This window comes from Homo sapiens, chromosome X (genome assembly GCF_000001405.40).
Source record: "Homo sapiens chromosome X, GRCh38.p14 Primary Assembly".
NCBI classification, from domain to species: domain Eukaryota; kingdom Metazoa; phylum Chordata; class Mammalia; order Primates; family Hominidae; genus Homo; species Homo sapiens.
This window is the reverse complement of record NC_000023.11, coordinates 119396405-119419243: the sequence shown is the minus strand read 5'-3', so window position 1 is coordinate 119419243 and position 22839 is coordinate 119396405. Positions and strand designations below refer to the sequence as shown.

Here is a 22839-nt window from a genome sequence, read left to right as displayed (position 1 = left end):
GGGGAGGGTGTCAGGCAGAGTTGTGGGGGGACCGAGCATGTGTCTGGTACCTCCCTCCTGATCCTTTCAGAAGGCCTGCCAGATTCCAAGGCTCCTACATTCTCAGCTGCTCCCTGGATTTTCAGGGCAGTATTCCCCAGCCTATCTCCCTCTCTTCTTCACATGCACCTGTGCAGAGAGCCATTTTCTCAGGACTCCCTGGTTCTTATTCGGGGTGCACAGATTAATCAGATGAATTCATCTCTGTCAATATTTTACCCTTCCTACTTGTTCTCTCAATACACTAAGTTCTGCCATCTCTTCTGGCCCAGGCCCTGGGCTAGGTGTGGGAGATAGACAAAAAGGCCAGGCTATACCTGGAAGGGCTTGAGCTAAGATGCACTGAAGCGTGGAGAAGGGGATTTCAGGCAGGGTGGTTGGGGTCCGTGAAAGCACACCAAGTTGGGGGCACCTCATTCCATGTGTGCACAGGCCTGACCCACCCCCCTTCCCACCAGAAGCCATTCTATCAAGACATGCACATGCATAATTTATTTACCTCTCCATTCTCTAGCATGCCAGCCAGGAGCCAAGGCAAGAAAAGGAAAAAGGGATAAAATGAGTGTAAGCATGGTGAAGGAAGGGCTCAGCTGGTTAAACAAGACTTCTGATTACTGTCATTATGTTCAAAAGAGTTCCAACCTGATGTGCCATTAAATGGGCTGTGTGTGTCTAGAGAAAAGCATATTAAGAGAAAGAAACATCCAGACAAAGGGGCCAGTCAGTGCAGGGATCGAGAAAAATTCCCTGTGTAGCTCGTTATCCAACAGACACCTGCCATTGATTTGCTTCATGACAGGCAGTGCAATGGGGAAAGCCAATGGAATGCAAATGTTGCCATTAAGTGTGCTCAGGTCAGAGCAGCCCAGTGGCCCTGCAAAGGTCCCTCGTTACTTATTCTGCTGGCAAACCCTGCCTGCTCCAGCGAGGACAGACTGTTATTAAAGCCCTCTCTTCTTGGTGAATTTGGAGTGTGTGCTTTGTAGGACAAGTAACAGTAACAACAAAACCAACAAGTTTAGCATTAGCCTGTGGTTTCTAGGCCTCTTATTCTCCAAACCAAAGATGGATTTCAAGCAGGGATTATGAAGTTGTTAACTGGACAGAGATCACCGAACTTCAGGCTCCAATCAGGTGATGCTCAGCTACTCTCCATTTACTGCAGTGACATCTAATGGCCAGAGAAGCCCAATGCCATGTTTGCATTTAAAAGCAGCCTGCAGTTCTGTCTTGGGGGTGAATTTTTTTTTTAACATAGGGTGGACAAAGTATTAGTATGTTTATTAACCCCTGCAAAATAACACTTTCACTGAAACCCTAAAAGTTCACTTCCTATATCTTTGGATGACATTTATATTGTTATTCATAATTACATGTTGATCCTATTTTGTGAAAACAGTGCAATTACCTCTTTGGATTTTTTTTTTTTTTTTACAACCATCATGACTTTGCATCTATTTGAAACTTCTTCTTATGCTCTATATATGCATTATTTGGAAGGCTCCCATACGAGGAAAAAGATGATCAGGATTACCCCCAAATACCCACTTCTAGTGTATCTTACCCCAGTTTATAGTGGGTTGTTGTGGTAGGGGTATAGAATGCAGATGGTGTAGAATGCGGTGTTGGCTGGATTCTCCCAGATGAGGTCACTGTTCTAGCTCTCAGGAAGAGAAAGCAAAACTAAGGTTTATGGGGAAGACTGGGACCCTTACCCGTCCCATTTAGATGTCATTGAACTTCATCTGAAACCTTTTTCTTTTCTTTTCTCTTTTTTTTGAGACAGAGTCTCGCTCTGTCACCCAGGCTGGAGTGTGGTGGCACAATCTCAGCTCACTGCAACCTCCGCCTCCCAGGTTTAAGTGATTCTCCTCTCTCAGCCTCCTGAGTAGCTGGGACTACAGGCACGTGCCAACACACCTGGGTAATTTTTTTTTTTTTGTATTTTCAGTAGAGATGGGGTTTCATCATGTTGGTCAGGTTGGTCTTGAACTCCTGACCTCAGGTGATCCACCCGCCTCGGCTTCCCAAAGTGCTGGGATTACAGATGTGAGCCACCGCACCTGGCCTGAAACCCTTTTTCACGGACTAGCCCTACCCCTTGAGGCTCAAGGCCCTGGTTGTTTTGGACTGGCCCACTATGGGGAGGAAGCTAAGCTGGCGAAGCCTTGAACTAGGCATGAAGTGGCTGAAAGTGCTGGAGAGATGCCCCTGGCAGTGAGAAATTCTTAGGACCAGGATTTTTAAAAAATGAATAAAACACTTACAGTATATCATACTTCTTTCCTACCCTACTTCTCCCCAGATTTTTTAAGAGAAACTATTTTTTTGTTTGTTTAGAGAGAGCATAATTTCCCTTTGAAGAAAACAACTTTTCTAAGGTTTGAACCAGATGAAATTGCTGTTTGAATGATGTCAACAAAGTTGAATATTGGTAATTTCATCTGGTTCAAGCTAAAGAAAGAAGATTGAAAGTAAAGGAGAGACATACTGTGTCTCTGAATAAAAGATGAAATATTTTACATAAATTACTCCAAGTGTATGGGTTTTACATAATTCCAATCATAATCACAAGGTAATTCTAAAGTTATCAGGAAGAACAAATGCCCGAAAATAATCAAGGAAATGTTGAAAAGAAAAACAATGAGGAGGGCTATATTCCACTAGACATTAAAAGGTGTTTTTTGGCCGGGGACGGTGGCTCACGCCTGTAATCCCAGCACTTTGGGAGGCCAAAGCGGGCAGATCATGAGGCCAGGAGTTCGAGACCAGCCTGGCTAACATGGTGAAACCTTGTCTCTACTAAAAATACAAAAACTTAGCCGGGCGTGGTGGCACATGCCTGCAGTCCTAGCTACTCGGGAGGCTGAGGCAGGAGAATCGCTTTAACCTGGGAGGCGGAGGTTACAGTGAGCTGAGATCACGCCACTGCACTCCAGCATGGGCGACAGAGCGAGACTCCATTTCAAAAAAATTAAAAAAAAAAAAGGCATTTTTCTAAAGTTATGGTCATTAAGATAGAGACCCTAGAATAGATATAAACATTTAGTATGTGGTGAAAGCTGCAGCACAAAGTAGTGGAGAAAAGAATTATTCAAAAAATGGTGCTTAAACAATTGGTAAACTATTAAAAAAAAAACTTAGATGACTGTTTCATATCATGCACCAGGAAAATTCTTTTTTTTTTTTTTTTTTTTGAGATAGGGTCTTGCTCTGTCACCCAGGCTGGAGTGTGGTGGCACAAATACGGCTCACCGCAGCCTCTACCTCCAGGGCTCAAGTGATCCTCCCTCCTCAGTCTCCCAAGTAGCTGGGACTACAGGTGTGCACCAGTTACAGGTGTGCCCAGTTAATTTTTGTATTTTTTATGGAGACGGGTCTCACCATGTTGGCCAGCTGGTCTCGAACTCCTAGCCTCAAGTGATCCTACCTATCTCAAACTCCCAAAGTGCTGGGATTACAGGCAGGAGTCACGGCACCTGTGCACCAGGTAAATTTTTTTTTTTTTTTGAGACTGAGTCTTGCTCTGTTGCCCAGGCTGGAGTGCAATGGGATGATCTCAGCTCACTGCAACCTCCATCTCCTGAGTTCAAGTGATTCTCTTGCCTCAGCCTCCTGAGTAGCTGGGACTACAGGCACGCACCACCACACCCGGCTAATTTTTGCATTTTTAGTAGAGACAGGGTTTCACCACGTTGGCCCGGCTGGTCTCGAACTCCTGACCTCAGGTGATCCGCCCACCTTGGCCTCCCAAAGTGCTGGGATTACAGGTACAAGCCACTGCACCCTGCCACACCAGGTAAATTCTAAATGTATTAAAATGTTAAGTGTAAGGCTGGGCACAGTGGCTCATGCCTGTAATCCCAGCACTTTGGGAGTTTGAGATGGGTAGGATTGCTTGAGTCCAGGAGTTTGATACCAGCCTGGGCAACATGGCAAGTCTCTGTCTCTACAAAAAATACAAAAATTAGCTGGGTATGATGGCCAGGCACGGCGGCTCACCCCTGTAATCCCAGCACTTTGGGAGGCCAAGGCAGGCGGATCACGAGGTCAAGAGATTGAGACCATCCTGGCCAACTTGGTGAAACCCCGTCTCTGCTAAAAATACAAAAAAAAATTTAGCTGGGTGTGGTGGCACGTGCCTGTAGTCCCAGCTACTCAGGAGGCTGAGGCAAGAGAATTGCTTGAACCAGGGAGATGGAGGTTGCAGTGAGCCGAGATGGTGCAACTGCACTTCAGCCTGGCAACAGAGCCTGACTCCGTCTCAAAAAAAAAAAAAAAAAAAAAAAATTAGCTGGGTGTGGTGGTGCATGCCTGTAGTCCCAGCTACTCAGGAGGCTGAGGTGAGAGAATCACCTGAGCCTGGGAAGTCGAGGCTACAGTGAGCTGAGATCGCACCACTGCACTCCAGCCTGGGCAGTAGTGAGACCCTGTCTCAAAAAAAAAAGAAGCCAAGTGTAAAAATCACAACTAAAAAAGTATTTAAATAACATATAAGTGAATAGTCATAGGATCATGGGATAGAATAGGCCTTTTAAGCACAAAAGCAAAGTCAGAAACAGAAGATAATACTAATAGATATAATTAGATAAAATTCTAAAAATATGTACAACAAAACATCACCACTCCAGCCCGGCCAACATGCTGAAACCGTGTCTCTATCAAAAATACAAAAATTAGCCAGGCATGGTGGCAGGTGCCTGTAATCCCAGCTACTTGGGAGGCTGAGGCAGGAGAAATGCTTGAACTGCTACTGCACTCCAGCCTGGGCGACATAGCGAGACCCTGTCTAAAAAAACAAAACAAAACAAAAACCCACCACCACCACCAACACATAAACAGCATTAGAAGCCAAATGTCAAACTGGGAAAAATATATGAAATGTATGACAAAGGGTTAATATCTTTAATATATAAAGACTTCTTACCAATGAATAGAAAAAGTTGAATATTCTAGAAAAATAGGGCAAGGACATAAATACAAAACTTACAAAGAAATACAAAGGGCCAGTGCAACCTTGCTTATAATCAATCAAATTAAAATTAAAATGATGGGATACTATTTTTCAGCTATTAGGTTCATAATGATTTAAAAAGTGACAATTAATATTGATAATTAATATCAATGAATATTGAGAGTTTAGAAGCTGAGCCACTGCTTTAGTGCTGGTGGAATTACAAACTTACAACCTTTCTGGAGTGCACATTTCATGAAGAGTCTTAGAATTGTTCATATTTTGTGACCTATAAGTCAATTTCTAGGAATATAGCCTAAGGATATCATCACAGATATGAAAAAATGCAAAGGTTTTCATTACAATGTTAGTATAACTCAAGAATTAGAAAAAGCCTAAATATTAAAAAAAGGAGAAATTGTTACATATTTTTGGCACATCCATATGGTGGAATATTATTTGATAATTAAATACTTAATGGCCCAGGGAAATACCCATTATATAATAAGTGAAAAAAGGATACTAATTTTTTTTTTTTTTTTTTGAGATGGAGTCTCGCTCTGTCGCCCAGGCTGGAGTGCAGTGGTGCAATCTCGGCTCACCGCAACCTCCATCTCCCAGGTTCAGGGGATTCTCTTACCTCAGCCTCCCAAGTAGCTGGGATTACAGGCATGTGCCACCATGACCAGCTAATTTTTGTATTTTTTAGTAGAGACGGGGTTTCGCCATGTTGGCCGGGCTGGTCTCAAACTCCTGACCTCAGGTGATCCACCCGCCTCGGCCCCCCAAAGTGCTGGGATTACAGCCGTGAGCCACCGCGCCCGGCCTAAGGATACTAATTTTTATATACAGTGTGAACACAATTTTGTAAAAGAAATAACCTTATATATCTTTATATGTGTGTGAGTGTGTTTATGTATATATATGAAGGTCCATAGAAGGAAAACTATTAATCATTATAATCCATGGGTGTTGGGCTATGGGTAATTTATTTTCCTTTTTGCACTTTTCTGTATGTCCCAAATTTTCTACAACTTATGTGTATTACTTTTTTTTCATTGTGGTCAAATATACATAAAATGAACCATTTTAACCATTTTAAAGTATATGTGCATTACTTTTTTTTTTCTTTGAGACAGGGTCTCTCTCTGTCACCCAGGCTGGAATGCGGTGGCAGGATTATAGCTCACTGTGACCTCGACCTCTTGGGCCCAAGTAATCCTCCTGCTTCAGTCTCCCAAGTAGCTGGGACCACAGGTACACACCACCATGCCCAGGTAATTTTTTATTTTTAGTAGAGACAAGGTCTCGCTATGTTGCTAAGGCTGGTCTCAAACTACTGGGCTCAAGTGATCCTCCCATCTTGGCCTTCCAAATGTGCATTATTTTTAAAATTAGAAATACTTAAAAAAAAAAGATAAGCATGCACTAAGCAGACTTTACATTTAAGCAGAAAAGCAAAGTCAGAAACAAACAAACAAAAAAGTAATAGATATAATTAGATAAAATTCTACAAATATGTACAACAAAGCACCACCACCAACAACACATAAATAGCACTAGAAGCCAAATGTTGGCTGGGCCCAGTGGCTCATGCCTATAATCCCAGCACTTTGGGAGGCTGAGGCGGGTGGATCTCTTGAGCTCAGGAGTTCGAGACCAGCCTGGTCAACATATAGTGAAACCCCATCTCTACCAAAAATACAAAAATTAGCTGGGTGTAGTGGCACATGCCTGTAGTCCCAGCTCTTGGGAAGCTGAGGCAGAAGAATCGCTTAAACCCAGGAGGAGGAGGTTGCAGTGAGCTGAGATTGTGCCACTGCACTCCAGCCTGGGTGTCAGAGTGAGACTCTGTCTCTCAAAAAAAAAAAAAACACCAAATGTCAAACTGGAAAAATTGTGTGAAATGTATGACAAAGGGTTAATATCTTTAATATATAAAGACTTCTTACCAACGAATAGAAAAATTTTGCACCTATACTACCATTACAATGATGCGACAATTATCTGTTTGGACAAGGACAGGAAAGGAATGCAACCCAGACAGATGAAGTTTCAGGGAGTGGAGTGGCAGCTTTGATAAGCACCTTCAGGCTGTTTAGTGCTGAGGTAAGCGATGGCCCAGGGCAGCCGGGACTACTACAGAGGGAAAGCGGGAGCGGGGAGGGACATTGAGCAAGCGAGGACAAGTTAGAGTCACAGGGGAAAACCAAACTTGGCTGGGACTGCTCATTTAAACTTGGATTCAGCTGACCCCAAATTAATTTCTATAGAGTTCTTCAGGAATATATTGCTTGTATAAATCAGGGTTTGCCCAGAAGAGGCCATGGAGACAGCCTAGCCTATGGAAGTGGAATTTTTTTAAAAATTTTTATTTTTAGTTCTGTGGTACACGTGCAGGATGTGCAGGTTTGTTACGTAGGTGAACATGTGCCATGGTGGTTTGCTGCACCTATCAACCCATCACCTGGGTATTAAGTCCAGCATGCATTAGCTATTTTTGAATTTTAAGGGCCTGAGCAGGGCTAAGAGAAGATACAGCACCTCAGCCCTGCTAGGATTCTGGGCCTGCCCCCACTGTACAGATATAACTGTTACCCACCCAACCTTATTTGAACTAGTCTGATTTTTCTTTGATCAAAATTGGCTTATTCTAGGCTAAGACAATTACTCACTTTGGAACTTCTGATTCTAGGATTTTGCCTCAGTGGTCTCACTAAGATGCCGCCTCATTTTTTTTTTTTTTTTTTGAGACAGAGTTTTGCTCTTGTTGCCCAGGCTGGAGTGCAATGGTGCAATCTTGGCTCACTGCAACCTCTGCCTCCCGGGTTCAAGTGATTCTCCTGCCTTAGCCTCTCGAGTAGCTGGGATTACAGGCATGTGCCACCACAACCAGCTAATTTTGTATTTTTAGTAGAGACAGGGTTTCTCCATGTTGGTCAGGCTGGTCTCGAACTCCCGACCTCAGGGGATCCGCCCACCTCGGCCTCCCAAAGTGCTGGGATTACAGGCATGAGCCACCGTGCCCGGCCTGATGCTGCCACATTTTAAATGCAGTTCCTTCCTCAGCGAGGGAGTCAGGGATGCTGGACCCTTGTTAGCTACAGTTCCTAGCTTATGTTGGTCCTATCCAGTCTGCTTCACTGAGGTAAGGCACAGTGAGGAAACCAAGAGTGGCATCCTTGCTGTGGAGGCAGCAAGGACAGGGAGCATTAGCAGGCTGCATTTCATATTCTACTCTCTGCTGGTCTTGGAGGAAGGAGAGCCACAAGTGATATAATCAGGAAGTCAGGAAAGAAAAGAGAAGCCTCATCTGGAGGCTTCTTTTTTTTCTTTCTTTCTTATTTTTCTTTCTTTTTTTTGAGACATAGTCTTTCTGTGTCACCCAGGCTGGAGTGCAATGGCGCGATCTCAGCTCACTGCAACCTCTGCCTCTCAAGTTCAAGTGATCCTCCTGCCTCAGCCTTCTGAGTGGCTGGGATTACAGGCGCCTGCCACCACGCCCAGCTAATTTTTGTTTGTTTAGTAGAGGCGGGGTTTCACCATGTTGGCCAGGCTGGTCTTGGACTCCTGACCTCAAGTGATCCACCCGCCTCCGCCCTCCCAAAGTGCTGGGATTACAGGCGTGAATCACCGCCCCTAGCCTGGAGGCTTCTTAAAAGACCAAAAAACAGAGGATGGGAATGAGGAGGCAGCCGGGGCTCAAGCCAACAGCTCTGAGGTTAGCAGCAGAAATGCCACAGAGTGGGGGTTTGCACAGTATTTATGAGCAGTCAGAAGCTCCTTGGAAACCTGGCATCACTTGGGGTCAGTGTTCTTTGCTGTTATTACCCGACCACAAACACTACAAAGCATTCCACCCCCTACCCCACTCTGATAACTCCTCACCTGCATCTTTCTCTTCACGGTCTCAAAGGGAAAGGAGAGGGTCTGGGTCACTGCAGCAGCCAGACAGACATTAGCAAAGTTCTGTGGGAGAGAGAACTGATCTCGGGGTCCGTTCCAGATTTTCTCCAGGTTCATGTAAACAAGAAGGGAGCCAGCAGAGAACGGGAGAGCACCTGCAAAACAAGGCCAGGGAGAAGCTGCTGCTGTCTTGGGAAAACACTGGCTTGAGAACATAAATTCCTGGGGGGATTCCGGGGAAAGAAAACAGGAGGGGCTCTGGGGTTGCTAAAATCCCTCCAACCCAAGGAGCATGAGGGAACTTTCTTGAGTGCGATAATGTGCTATATTTTGGTAGGGGTTGTGTCATTTGTCAAAATGCATCAAATGGTTCACTAAAGGTTTGTCCACTTTACTGGATGTAAATTGTACTTTAAAAAACAACCATACGGCTGGGCGTGGTGGCTCATGCCTGTAATCCCAGCACTTTGGGAGGCCAAGGCGGGAGGATCACCTGAGGTCAGGAGTTTGAGACCAGCCTGGCCAACATGGTGAAACCCCATCTCTACTAAAAATACAAAAAGTAACTGGGTGTGGCGTTGGGCACCTGTAATCCCAGCTACTTGGGAGACTGAGACAGAAGAATCACTTGAACCCAGGAGGCAGAGGTTGCAGTGAGCTGAGATCGCACCACGGCACCCCAGCATGGGTGACAAGAGAGAAACTCCATCTCAAAAAAAAGAACCATACACAAATATTGAACTCTAGTTAATGACACACATGTTGAAGGGTTTAGGGGTGAAGTGTATTGATATTTGCAAGTTACACTGAAATCATTAAAAAAAAAAAAAAGGTGGGCTGGCTGAGTACAGTAACTCACGCCTGTAATCCCAGCACTTTGGGAGGCCGAGGTGGGCGGATCACTTGAAGTCAGGGGTTCGAGACCAGCCTGACCTCGTCTCTACTAAACTCCATCTCTACTAAAACGGAAACTCCATCTCTACTAAAAATACAAAAAGTAACTGGGCGTGGAGGTGCGTGCCTGTAATCTCAGCTACTTGGGAGGCTGAGGCACGAGAATCGCTTGAACCTGGGAGGCAGACGTTGCAGTGAGCCGAGATTGCACCACTGCACTCCAGCCTGGGTGACAGAGCAAGATTCTGTCTCAAAAAATAAATAAATAAATAAATAAATAAATAAATAAATAAAATAAAAATGGACTGATGAATGGCTGGAGGGATGAATAGCAAAATGTTAATTGTAGCATCTAGATGGTCCATGGATGTATACTCTAGATTTCTTTTAATTTTTCTAGATGTTTGAAGCTTTTTTTTAATGTTCGGGGAAAAAATCACTCAAGTAAAAAAAGCCAGTGGGCAGCACCTCATTATGTTTTGGAGGACAGGAGGGACTGATCTCTAGCTGAGAAGGAAACATTTTATGAAAACTGGAAAGTGAGAGACTCTCGATGGTGAGGGAGGTCACCTGACTTCACCTTTGGGAATGACATGGTCATATCATGGCCCAGTGGGCACCCTACACTGTGTGGCTTCCTCACCTTTCTAAGAACTGAGATGGTGAGTAAGTAATATAGTAGGTGGCACTTTCACAAACTTCCAGAACCTTTAGGAGCCATCTTTAGTTTACAGAGGGACTAAATTTCTCCCTCAAAATGAAATTTAAAATAGGGGATAATACAAGTGAAATTGCTTATCTTTAGAAAAATGTAATGTTTATTTAATTGGCTCACCAACCTTCCATTTACCTTCATTCAGAAAATGTCTGGAAAGCTTAGGTTATGTGCCAGGCCCTATGTCAGGTGCTGGGAATCGAAAGAGGAGCGGGCTAATTTCTGGAGATGCTCATCATCGAGGAGAACAGACAGCCAGGGCAAAGTCAGTATAACACCCCTGATGTGTGCCACAACAGGGGGGCTATATGAAATGCATTAGGTACACAAGGATCAAAGGGATTAATTTTGCCTGGGGGAGTCAGGAGGGACTTGATGAAAGAGAGAACTTTTGAACTGGGTCTTGAGGAATAAATAGGAGTTCATCAGACTTTGACAGAGTGGAAAGGCAAAGGGAATAGCATGTATAAAGGGAGTGGTATTTCCAGGAAATCCAAGTTTTTCTGAAGGGCTGGAGCATGAATGCAGGTGGAGGTATGGCAGGAGATGAGGTAGGACAAACTGGCAGGGGCCAGGTCTGAAGGATCTAGAATGTCCTAAGGAATTTGGGCTTTCTCCTGTAGCTCAGGAGTCGCTGAATACTTTTTAAGGAGAGCAGTGAAATGAGGGCCGTGAAACGATGAAATTGCACGTGGAGAGATCACCTCAGCCGGGCAGCAGTGCACGGGGAAGACTGGGGCAGGAGATACCAAGAGTGGAAGCAGGTAGGAGCCAGAGTCTGTGGGAGACCCTGAGAGTCTGAGTTGTAAGGACCTGTGGGAAAGAGGATGAGTCAAATCGACGGGACTTGGTGATTCAAGTGGGGGTGGAGTGAGAGGAGAAGTTGAAGTGATCCCTAGGCTTTTTTTTCTGGCTTGGGCCACGGGGTGAAAGGAAGGTAGTCTCATTCATTAGGGAACACAGGAGGAAGAGCTAGTTTGAGACCAACGAGGACATCAGGGTTAATCTTGAATTTGATGTGCCTAGGGAGCATGGAGGTGAAGGTGTCCAACAGCAGGGACTCATACTACCATTGGGAATTGGTGTCAGTCAGGGGCTAACAGAGGGCTCTGGAGTTCTATTGCTAGTTTCTCCTGCTTTCTATCTATGTGGACTTGGGCAAGTCACTTAGCTTCCTGAAGCATCTATCTCCTCATCTGTAAAATAAGGCCTCATGAGAAAGCGCATGCAATGCATTTGGCCCAGTACCCAGAACATGGTAAGTACTTCCCCCCAAAAGTTGGCCATTGTTACTAAAGAGGTAGAGAATAAGGGTCACAGAATACACTGACGCTTGCTTAAGCCACTAGCATAGATGAGGCCACCTAGGGAGGGTTTGGAGGATGAGAAGCAAGCTAAAGGGGAGGGTAAAAAGAAAGCTAAGGAAGGAGCCCAGGGGAAGAGCAACATGTAGGGGCTGGCAGTATCAGACGACCCAGATGGGCCGGATAAGTCAGATAAGAAAGAGCTGCCAGAGAGATGGGAAGACACCCAGGACTTGGAGGGGTCCTGGAAGCCAAGTTTCCAGAAGAAGGGGTGGTCAACCTTATCAAATGCTGCAACCAAGTTCAGATAAAGGGAAAAAGTCTACTGGATTTTGCAATTGGGCCATAAATGTGTAGCTCTGGCAAAGGTTACAAAGACCCCAGAAGACACAGTTGCTACCCTAGTTGCCCTCATGGCATATCAATGTGTATGTACACTGAATACTCCTTCTGCAGTCAGATGGAGAGTGGTTAGAATTGCATTCTTACCAGTTTGCTGAGTCACCTCCACTTTCTGGTCTACTCCCCTCCCGGGGATGTAACTGGCCAAAGTTTAGGAGTGGAGTGTATGGCTATGGAATAGAATGAAGCTAATTGCCTCTATGTAGGTTGAATCCATATAACCTTGATCTCAGTAAAACTGATTTAGTGGCTCACAAAGGTATACAATACATTTGTAATTTCAGAGAACATAGCCTTTTCTTGGACAAGGTGAAAAGGTCCATCTTACCTACAACAGTGAGGGAAACCCCTCGATAAAGGGCAAGGAACCCTTCCTGTTGGTAAATAGTAGAAAAAGCATGGAGGAGCCCCCTGTACGATGGTTCCAGTATGTTCTGCATGATCAACCGGGTTTTGATGAGGTCTGTAGGATATGTTACAATGGTGGAAACCATGCCTGCGAGACTCCCAGCCATGATGGAGCTCCACTGGGAAATGTGGCCCAGGTCATCTGTGAACAGCACAACAAATCTGGGAGAAAATAGGGGGAAAGGCCAGAGAAATCAACTATGGATTGTGCTAGAGTTCTCTCCACTAGTTCTTGAAATATTTTCCAGCATTTCAAAGTACTTTACAAAGTGAAAAGTTACTATAGTACTATATAAGCATTCATGAATAATACATTTACATTTTTCTATATTTATATGATGCTAGTTGGCTATAAGAGATGCCTAACTTTCTTAATTTACATCTATCCCAAGTCCTTCCCACTTAAAGCATTTTCTACTTTTATCTACATAATTGTCAACACTGGCTTGCCTGTGGGGTGTAAATGCACAGAAGTACCTGGTAAATACCAACTGGAGTGCAGTCTTTCAGTTCTGTTGAAACTTAAAAAGGAACAAAATTTCTTCAAATGATAACTTCGAGCATCTCAGTAATTACGTTTTTTTTTTTTTGAGGCAGAGTCTCACTTTGTTGGCCAGGCTGGAGTGCAGTGGCACGATCTCGGCTCACTTCAACTTCCGTTCCCCAGGTTCAAGCAATTCTCATGCCTCAGCCTCACAAGTAGCCGGGACAACAGGCGCACGCCACCATGCCCAGCTAATTTTTGTAGTTTTAGTAGAGACGGAGTTTCACCATGTTGGCCAGACTGGTCTCGAACTCCTGACCTCAGGTGATCCACCCCGCTCGGCCTCCCAAAGTGCCCAGTTCTGGGCCGGGTGCGGTGGCCACTCTATCGCCCACGCAGAAGTACAGTGGCATGATCTGGGCTCACTGCAACATCCACCTCCCAGGCTCAAGAGATCCTCCCACCTCAGCCTCCTGAGTAGCTGAAACTACAGATGTGCGCCACCATGCCTGGCTATTTTTTTTTTTTTTTTTTTTTTTTTTGTAGAGATAGGGTTTCGCCATGTTGGCTAGCCTGGTCTCAAACTCCTGGGCTCAAGTGATCTGCCCGCCTCAGCCTCTCAAAGTGCCGGGATTACAGGTGTGAGCCACTGTGCCCGGCCTATCTTTTTAAAATGAGAGCATCCCCAGTTCCTTAGCCTTCAAACCTCCAGTGAGGAGGTGCATTTCCTGTTCTTTCAGTTGCCCATAGGCCAGGGGCTGCTGCATGAGAAATAAGAGTGGGCATTCAGGTGAAAGCATTTAAGGGGTTCTAGGCTAGCTCTTTTGCTTTCAAGTAAACACTCACTGATTAAAAACATCTTCAAGCTGTAGGAGTCTTGACTTCATTTTGTCAACCTACCTTAGCCGCATTAACTGAAACAGTCATTTGAGTTAATCAGCTGCTTTTAAACATACAGGGAAGTAAAGGTGATGTGGTGCTATGATACATACATTGGTTTTCACCCATGGTTCCTGGCTCCTAACTTCCCTAGTCCTTGTTATAATGTTGGGGCACTTTAGGTCTCAGGAAACAGAATCTTTCTCTCTTTGACCTTCTCCTGCCCTCCTTTTACCTGCCCAAGGTAGGACTCTAATCTGATTGTGGGTTAAAAGATCCTCATCCCAGAGAGGGTCCTGCCCCATACCCTAGAGCAAACTTGTCCAACCCACAGCCCACAGGCCGCATGTGGCCCGGGATGGCTTTGAATGTGGCCCAACACCAATTTGCAAACTTTCTTAAAACATTATGAGATTTTTTTGCAATTTTTTTTTTTTTAGCTCATCAGCTATCGTTAGTGTTATTGTATTTTATGTGTGGCCCGACAATTCTTCTTCCAGTGTGACCCAGGGAAACCAAAAGATTGGACACCTCTGCCCTAGAGAAAGGAACGCTGCATAGAGGCCAAGAAAAGTCTGAACAGACAGGCCTTGCTGGGTTTAGATCATGTGCTTTTCATCCAGTCACATTTCTACATGGTTGTCAATCATGCCTCTGTAACAAATCTTCCATAAAAACCCGAGAGGACAGGGTTTGGGAACCTTCTGGATGGCTGAACATGTGGAGGTTCCTGAAGGGTGGCGTGCCCAGGGAGGGCATGGAAGCTCCACACCCCCTGCCCCTTACCTCACCCTGCCCATCTCTTCTCTGTATCCTTTGTGGTATCCTCTGTAGTTAACTGGTAAACATTAACTATTTCCCTGAGTTCTGTGAGCCGCACTAGCAAATTAATCGAACCCAAAGAGGGGGTCGTGGGAACCCCAACTTGAAGCTGGTTGGTCAGAAGTTCTGGAGGCCTGGCTAGGCATGGCGTCTCATGCCTGTAATCCCAGCACTTTGGGAGGCCGAGGCAGGCAGATCACTTGAGGTCAGGAGTTCGAGACCAGCCTGGCCAACATGGCAAAACCTTCTCTTTAGTAAAAAAATTACAAAAATTAGCTGGGCATGGTGGCGGGCGCCTGTAATCCCAGTTACTCAGGAGGCTGAGGCAGCAGAATAGTTTGAATCCGGGAAGCAGAGGTTGCAGTGAGCCGAGATCACGCACTGCACTCCAGCCCGGGTCACAGAGCGAGACTCAGTCTTAAAAAAAAAAAAAAAAAAGTTCTGGAGGCCTGGACTTGTGACTAGTGTCTGGTTGGGGGCCATTCTTGGGGACCAAGCCCTTAACCTGTGGCTTGGTCTGACATTATGTCCAGGTAGACAGTGTCAGAACTGAATCAGAGGACACCTAGTTGGTGTCCATTTATCAGAGTGTGGGGTTCCCCACACTCATTTGGTCACAGAAGTCTTCTGTGTTGAGGGTTGTTGTTGTGGTGTGAGAGCAGAGGAAAAACCAAGTTTGACAGAGGTTTTTCTCAAACAGGTGGCATTCACCAACAGACTATCTGCCTCAGTTGTACTGCCTGCCTGCCCACTTCCTCGTTCCTCCCTCTTCTATACCCTGGCCAGTCAAGTTGGAGGGGGACCTCAGAAAGGACAGGGGAAACAGAGGAAGTAGAAATTTTTGACTGGGGCTGGGCGTGGTGGCTCACGCCTGTAATCCCAGCACTTTGGAAGGCCAAGGCAGGTGGATCACGAGGTCAGGAATTCGAGACCAGCCTGGTCAACATAGTGAAACCCCGTCTCTACTGAAAATACAAAAATTAGCCAGGCATGGTGGCGTGCACCTGTAATCCCAGCTACTCGGAAGGCTGAGGCAGGAGAATCGCTTGAACCCGGGAGGTGGAGGTTGCAGTGAGCCGAGATTGCGTCACTGCACTCCAACTTGGGCGACAGAGCAATACTTCTTCCAAAAAAAAAAAAAGAAATTTTTGACTGGAGGGGCGGTCTGCAGCAAGCTGGAACCACCTAGAAGGTGGAGTTTGAAATGCCCAAAGAAATACCATTCATTCTCCTTGTCCCACTCTTATTCCCCATCCCACTTGGTCACTTCTAGGGCATAGTTAATTCACTACTCATTTATTGAAGGTCTACAATGTATCAGACCCTGTGTTAGTCCTCAGCATAGAGCCTAAGGGAGTTCAACACTTCTGACAAGGAAATGACTGGTAGGGGCAAGCGGAGAGGAAACAGGCCCTTAATTCACTGAATGACTTGATGAACTAGGAAGAGGAGCCGTATTTTATATCAGTTTCTTTTATAGAGTCTCAATATCAAATATACACAATTAAAAAGAAGAACCATAGGAAGTCCTTTTTTCGCAGACTTCTCCCATCTGATACAGAGATAAGTCCTATCAATTGTTCCCCTTAGAATCTCAGAGTCAGGGCAGGCAACCCTGATAATCCGCCAATGATGTCATCTCAGTCCATGCATCTTAAACTTTTGATTTGCTAGGGCGGCACTGTTCCCTTTTCTGTTCTTCCTCCCACCCCCACACATACATGCACAGAAGCTTTTTCCAGTGAGACTGGATACACTGGTGAATTGCAGCAACCCCTTCCTTTCAGCCAGCACAGATACAACACACACCCTGGATATGTGTAATTATAACTGCCAATACTTCAACCTAACAGGTTGGCAGCCAGTGCAGCCAAACATAAGCTCATGAAGTGCTTATTCAATAAAGAAATAGTGTTGGTTATGAACAATTTCAGAGCTGCAGGGACCCAAACTAACGTTTATTAGATAAGATAGACAAGCGGTTGTGAAGTTCCAGGGCGGGGGGGTCTTCTATTTGATACATCTGAAAGCCACCCATTACAATAACCTAGCTCCCAACAGACTACTGAGTGGACTCTTGATCGTCAATCCAACTAAGCAGATATTTCTGCTGTGCAATGGTAGACAGAGACCTGAACTAAGGAGCCAGAAGACTTGGCTTCAAGTTCCAGCTCTTCCATTAATTGCATTTGTGGACAAGTCACTTAACTACCCCATTCCCTGAACATTCTGGATGTTTATGTTTTGTTCAAACCCATGATCACAGGCCCCCAGCCAACTGTTTTGCAAATTCATGGTCAGAAAAGAGTAGAAATGAATCAGTATAATGATGAATCAAGAGTATCATGTTGATGTAGGAAGGATGGCATCGCGATTAATCAAACACTTTGCTTTCCAACTATGCCTTGCCATTCACCAAAATACTTCCTTTTAGTTTTCAGAAAGAAAATAATCCTGTAGGGGAAAAAAAATTCCTAGCAAACCTAGCCCAGGTAAGTCTCTGTTCTCGTTCTCCCAGACATCTCCTCCTCTCTGCTCCCATGGTCACCTATTGCCGGTGCCCTCAGCTGCTATGTGGACTAGTGCAACAGGTTCCTAACTGGCCCTGCTGTCTCCACTCTTCCTCCTCTCTAGTCATCTTACTCTGCCACGATGTGACGATCATTTCCATTGAATTGCTTTAATCACAACACACCTCCCCCCACCCCCCACAAAAACCTCCCACAGCTACCCTTGGATACCAAGTCAAGTCCAAATCCCTTAATCCAACCCTCTAATATCTCATTCCAACCTGCTTTTCTGGTTGGACTTCCTGTTGTGCTGCTTGCCTTCCCACCTCTGTGCATTTGCTGACATCAACTGCAGTATCTTTCTCTCCATCTCTGCCCAGCAGACTCCTCATTCTCCCAATGCCAAACTCAAATTTTTTTCTCCTCTATGAAGTCTTCACATTTTCTCCTCCTCATCGCTCATCAGAAGGGTACATTTCTAGAGCACATTATCCATGACAATCACATGCTACCTTGTGTGTTATGGTCATGGACATATTAGTCTTACTCTTCTATTACTCTGTAAGCTCCTGGGGCACAGGGACCATGCCCCTTCCATCCTGGCATTGTCCTCAGCATCGTGCACACAGTGGGGACTTAATGTAGCCTGACTAAATTAGTGTCAAATGGATGCAGGGAGGCAGCATGATGTAACAGAAAGACTATGAGATTTGGAGTCAGAAGGCCAGGTAGTGGAGCTCAGCTCGGTCACTGACAAGAGGTGTCATCACTCTGAGCCCAATTCTGCATCTGTAAAACAGGCACAATGCTTCCTGTCCTATGGACCTTACAGGGCAGGAGGCAGGAGCTTAAAAAATCTAATGTGCATATACTAGGTGCTTAGCAGAAGAGCCACAATACTTAAACCAGCCTTTGAAGTTCTGCCCCCCACCCCTCTGGACATATTTTATCCCATCCAAAGGAAGATTTCCACACTACTTTGTAGAGAAGAGGGTGAAGTGGGGGAGAAACTGAGTCATTAAGACTCAGAGGAGAACTGTTTACAGACTGCAGGCCAGATGTTGATGAGGGCAAGCAGAGGTGGGGAGGAAAAAGGGCCTTAACTAAATGTCATGGTCCCACCCATGAGTCCCTCTGCAGAGGAAGAGAAGGGAACTCTATTTCCAGGCAGAGGCAAAATGAGTACTGGCCTAGAGGCCTAGGTAATAAGGATGATTCCGTTCGGCTTGTCGGCTGCCAGGTGAGCCTTCCACCTCTGGCCTCCCAGGTGAGTGACAGTGTCAAGGCAAAATCCTTTGACTATTAGCCGCCAAGACTAAACTATGCGGTCAAGACCGACTCTCCCAAATGTGGGCTGTTTGTCTAATTCAGAGCCAAGGCGATATCAAAGATGCCACTGTGCCCACTGAATGAGGAACACAGGGACCGTCCCCCCAATACAGAAACATCTCTGCTTCCTGAAATGCCATCACTACCAATTCATTCTTTCAGGCTTGGTTTCCAGTTCAAATGCAGGTACCTCTGAGCTCGGTGGAAGCTTTAAGGCTGCATTTACACCTTTAGATCTTTTCCTAAGGAGCAGCTGTTGATGTGGGAGAAGGTGGAAAAGGCCCAAATAAATGAGGCCAGTGGGGTGAAGCGGTAGGCTGAGGGGGCCGTTCTCAGCTTGGGGAGGGGAAGCTGCAGCCTCTGTCGGAGCCTGAAGTCAAGCTTCATTTAAGTTGGGGAGATGTGTGGGCAAAAATCTGCGGCCTTTTCGTATCGATGGATCGGGTCCTTTCCCCACACCAAGCACTTTCTTCTCGGGGCTTGGGTCACACAGACAAAAACACCTTTAAAAGGGTCTCTCTCTTCCTAAGCCAGCCTAAGCAAAAGTTTCCAAATTGGAGGACGGTGGAAATGGTTAGGACTCATCTCTCTGGAGAGCTTTTCATTCCTTTCCTCCAAATCCTTTGCTGCATTCCACCTCCTCGCCCGGTCCAATCCGGAAAGCCTCTCGGACCAGGGCTGCGGACCACAAAACTGCATCTTGCAGGGCGGTAACCCCAAGAGAACGTGAAAAGCATTGGGGCTGCACTCTGGGGGCCATAGAGGTGGCCCACCGCCCCGAGGGGTCCCCAGGTGATCGACAAGGGGGCCGTCCCTACTCCAGGGCCCCGAGTCCAGGCAGCAGGGCGGCGTCGGGCCGCGGCTCCCCCACCCCACCCCCGTCCGGTCTCCCGGTTCCCCGGCCCCGCCCGGCTCTTACTTGCGGTAGGCGGCGAGCTGCACGGCGCTGCAGGGGAAGAGGCGCAGGCACGCCACCGCGTTCCCCTTCCACAGGGCCCGGAGCCCCTCTGCCCGCCACACCCGGTGCCCTGTGGCCCACGGTCCCCGGGCGTGGCCTCGCACGACGCCAACCTGGGCCAGCACGGTGGCGAGCTCCAGGGGCGCGGTGAGGCTGAGGCTGAGCGTCCCCGCCAGCCCAGCGCACAGCAGCCTTTGGCCGCCTGTCAGTCGGCCGTCCCGCCTCCACGTAGCCATCGAGCCCCGACCCGGGCCCGGAAGACCGCGTGGCTCGGGCCTGGGGCTCTCCGGCCACGGGCGGAGGTGGCGGGCCCCAGGCCCCGCCCGGCATGGGGCGGGCCCGCGTGAGGGACGGGAAGCCCCGTCTACGCCCTAGCCTGGCCCGAGGCTGGTCGGGGGTGGGGCGCGAGGGCCTGGAGGGTCCGGGGTCCGAGGCCGCGGATATCATGGGCATAGTCTCCCCAGTTGGCAAGGCTCGAGTAGCGACTTTCAGTTGCGAAACAGTTACTGTTCTCTCAAGGCCCAGCCTGCTAGACATCTTGCTTCCTAAATGTTCAGTGCGCCCCCGCCGCCCCTCCCTGCCTCTCCTCTGGTTTGCCCCTTTTCTCCCTTTCACGTGCCACTTCTCTGTCTTCCTCCCCTGGCGCTTCCCTCCTCCTCCTCTTGCCTCCAACCCATTTTTTTTTCCTGCCTAACCAAAAAGCCTTGATGGTTTCCCAGTGCAGAAGGTAAAAAATTCTAACAACCACAGTTGCTATCTCTCAGGCACTTGTCAAGTACTGGGCTTTACAGACGTTCTCATGTAATCCTCAAAACGGCCCTAAGTACGTATGTCCTCATTGACAGAGGCTGTGTGGGTGTGGGGACTTGAATCTGGACTCTTGAACCTGTGTAAGATTCTTGGCTCTGCAGCTTACCAGCTGTGGGACCTTGGGGAAGTCACTCAACCTCTCTGTGTGTCAGTTGCTTTATAAAACAGAGATTATAATTTTTTCCTCCTAGGGGTTGTTGTAAGGATTAATGAACAATGACTGGTATGGGTAAGCAGTTTATATGTGTTAGTTCTGATTAGGTATTCATTTACAGGAGAGGAAACCAAGACACAGAGAGGACTTGCTCAGGCTCACACAGCTACCTACAAAGCAGAGACCGGTTTGAAATCTAGGGCGGTTTATGTCAGTTTCCACTAACGGCTACACTATATGTCTACTAGGACTGCAGAGTTAACTCCAGTAGGGACATTTTCAGTGGTTCTGTAAGCTAAGAGAACAATAGAGGCAAAGAATGGCTAAGAGAGGCTTGGCCAGAATCCGAGGATTCTTTAATCAGTTCAAAAATTTCAGAATTTCAGAATTTCTTTCTGTCTCTTTTTTTTCTAAAAAAGCCATGTCACTAATAATTACAAGGAAAGGAACTGTCAGCAGTCTGTTGGTGTGAGCAAGATGTTCCGGGTACATAGTTGTTTTTAGGCTTGTATAGTTATTTACATTTACTAACACACAATGCTATAGGAACGTTTTCTAAAAGGCATTGCAGGGTTTCTCCTTTTTTATTTTTCACTGTCAATCTCACTTGAGTATGACATTACAAGGTTTTGACTGTGAGAACTTGTTCTAGTTGCAGAAGCCATACTCTGCTCTCAACAATTGGGGAATGCTTATTTTCATGTTTTGTGAATTCTTCTGTCTTGTTGTAAGCTAATTTGATGGCTGGGGGAAGCTTGAGAAAGATGTATGACTCTGAAGACCGGAGGACCCCGACTTTAAAAGGGCTTGAATTGGAATTTGGGGATTACAATAAGGAAACCTTCGGGTACTGGTACTTCCTAAAGCCCTTTGTTGGATAACGGGACAAGATTCTAAAGCTCTTTCAGGAAGTTCGTGGGTCTGGAACATTTCATGTGATAACCCCATTGTATGGAGATTGGGTCAGCCAAGTTATGTTTTTTTTTTTTTTGAGACAGAGTCTCGCTCTGTCGCCCAGGGTGAAGTGCAGTGGCATGGTCTTGGCTCACTGTAACCTCTGCCTCCTAGGTTCAAGCGATTCTCCTGCCTCAGCCTCCTAAGTAGCTGGGACTACAGGCATGTGCCACCATACCCAACTAATTTTTTTGTATTTTCAGTAGAGATGGGGTTCGCCATGTTGGCCAGGCTGGTCTCGAATTCCTGACCTCAGATGATCCACCTGCCTCGGCCTCCCAAAGTGCCGAAATTACAGGCATGAGCCACCGCGCCTGGCCTATTTTAACCTTGAAAGTAAAATGTATGGCCGGGCGCGGTGGCTCACGCCTATAATCCCAGCACTTTGGGAGGCTGAGGCGGGCGGATCACGAGGTCAGGAGATCGAGACCATCCTGGCTAACACGGTGAAACCCCGTCTCTACTGAAAATACAAAAAATTAGCCGGGCGAGGTGGCGGGCGCCTGTAGTCCCACCTACTTGGGAGGCTGAGGCAGGAGAATGGCGTGAACCCTGGAGGGCGGAGCCTGCAGTGAGCCGAGATCACGCCACTGCACTCCAGCCTGGGTGACAGCGAGACTCCGTCTCAAAAAAAAAGAAAGTAAAATGTATATTTTTCACTGCAGGTACACTGAAGCATAAAATGAATAACACCAAACTATATATTGGATGCCTTCTGTCTTTTCATGATCATGTGCTAACCAGGTGTTCATATTTTACTCAGCCAGAGTCTCATTCATCTGCTTAGCATTGGGCACCTTATGTATATTCATCCTAAACATAAATAAATCTCCGAGGATATCCTGTATTTGGATTGTGACTTGTATACTCAAGCCAACCTTATTGCCTCTTTTTCACACTTGTTGAAAAGTCTGTGGAGAGCATAGTAGGTTAACAAGCTCCAACTTTGGAAAATGTACATGATGTGAAATTGGGGTGCTATGCTAAAAATAAATGTATGATAACTAAAAAGGAAGAGGCAGTGAGTAAAAAAAAAAATCTTAGAAGTTATGTTGCAATATAAGGAGAAAGGTGGCCAGCTGAGAGTTAAGCCCTAGGCAGCCTCTCGTTGCCCCAGTCAGGGCTTGGGAGATGCTAACAGTTTTTTAAATTCTCCAGCTTTCATTTTTCAGTTTATCTTCTCACCAACTGAAATCTCTCAGTACATTACTTTAGTTTAACTTGCTAGTATTTCTTAGAATATAATTTATCTTGTTATATTTATACTAATGTTGATTGATTCCTGCTCTCCTAATTTTCTTTTATTTTTTACTTTTT

At 46.2% G+C, this 22839-nt stretch overlaps 1 protein-coding gene across 11 annotated transcripts in view, besides 1 other annotated feature; it reads right to left on the bottom strand.

Annotated features, from left to right (window-relative positions):
* The window catches only part of SLC25A43 (solute carrier family 25 member 43), a 55143-nt gene extending 35235 nt beyond the window's left edge, over window positions 1–19908 (bottom strand). For 6 of the 11 annotated variants that reach the window (XR_938546.2, XR_938547.2, XR_938545.2 and 3 more), the window contains exons 1-3: window positions 19566–19908; window positions 12543–12784; window positions 8882–9054 (exon numbers count right to left, since the gene is read on the bottom strand). Coding sequence is in view for 6 of the 11 variants with exons in the window: in NM_145305.3 (NP_660348.2) it covers window positions 8882–9054; window positions 12543–12784; window positions 19566–19840 (690 nt within the window). In the remaining 5 variants the exon portion in view is untranslated. Of the gene's footprint in view, window positions 1–538; window positions 550–750; window positions 1703–8881; window positions 9055–12542; window positions 12785–19565 lie in introns of those variants that run through there. The other 5 variants (XM_047441902.1, XM_047441903.1, XR_001755662.2 and 2 more) reach the window with 4 other exon arrangements.
* Window positions 19385–20044: a silencer, noted in NCBI's record as "silent region_20957". NCBI's record gives its function as "represses an Ori minimal core promoter by ATAC-STARR-seq in GM12878 lymphoblastoid cells {active_cell/tissue: GM12878}" and the evidence as "EXISTENCE:reporter gene assay evidence [ECO:0000049][PMID:35858748]".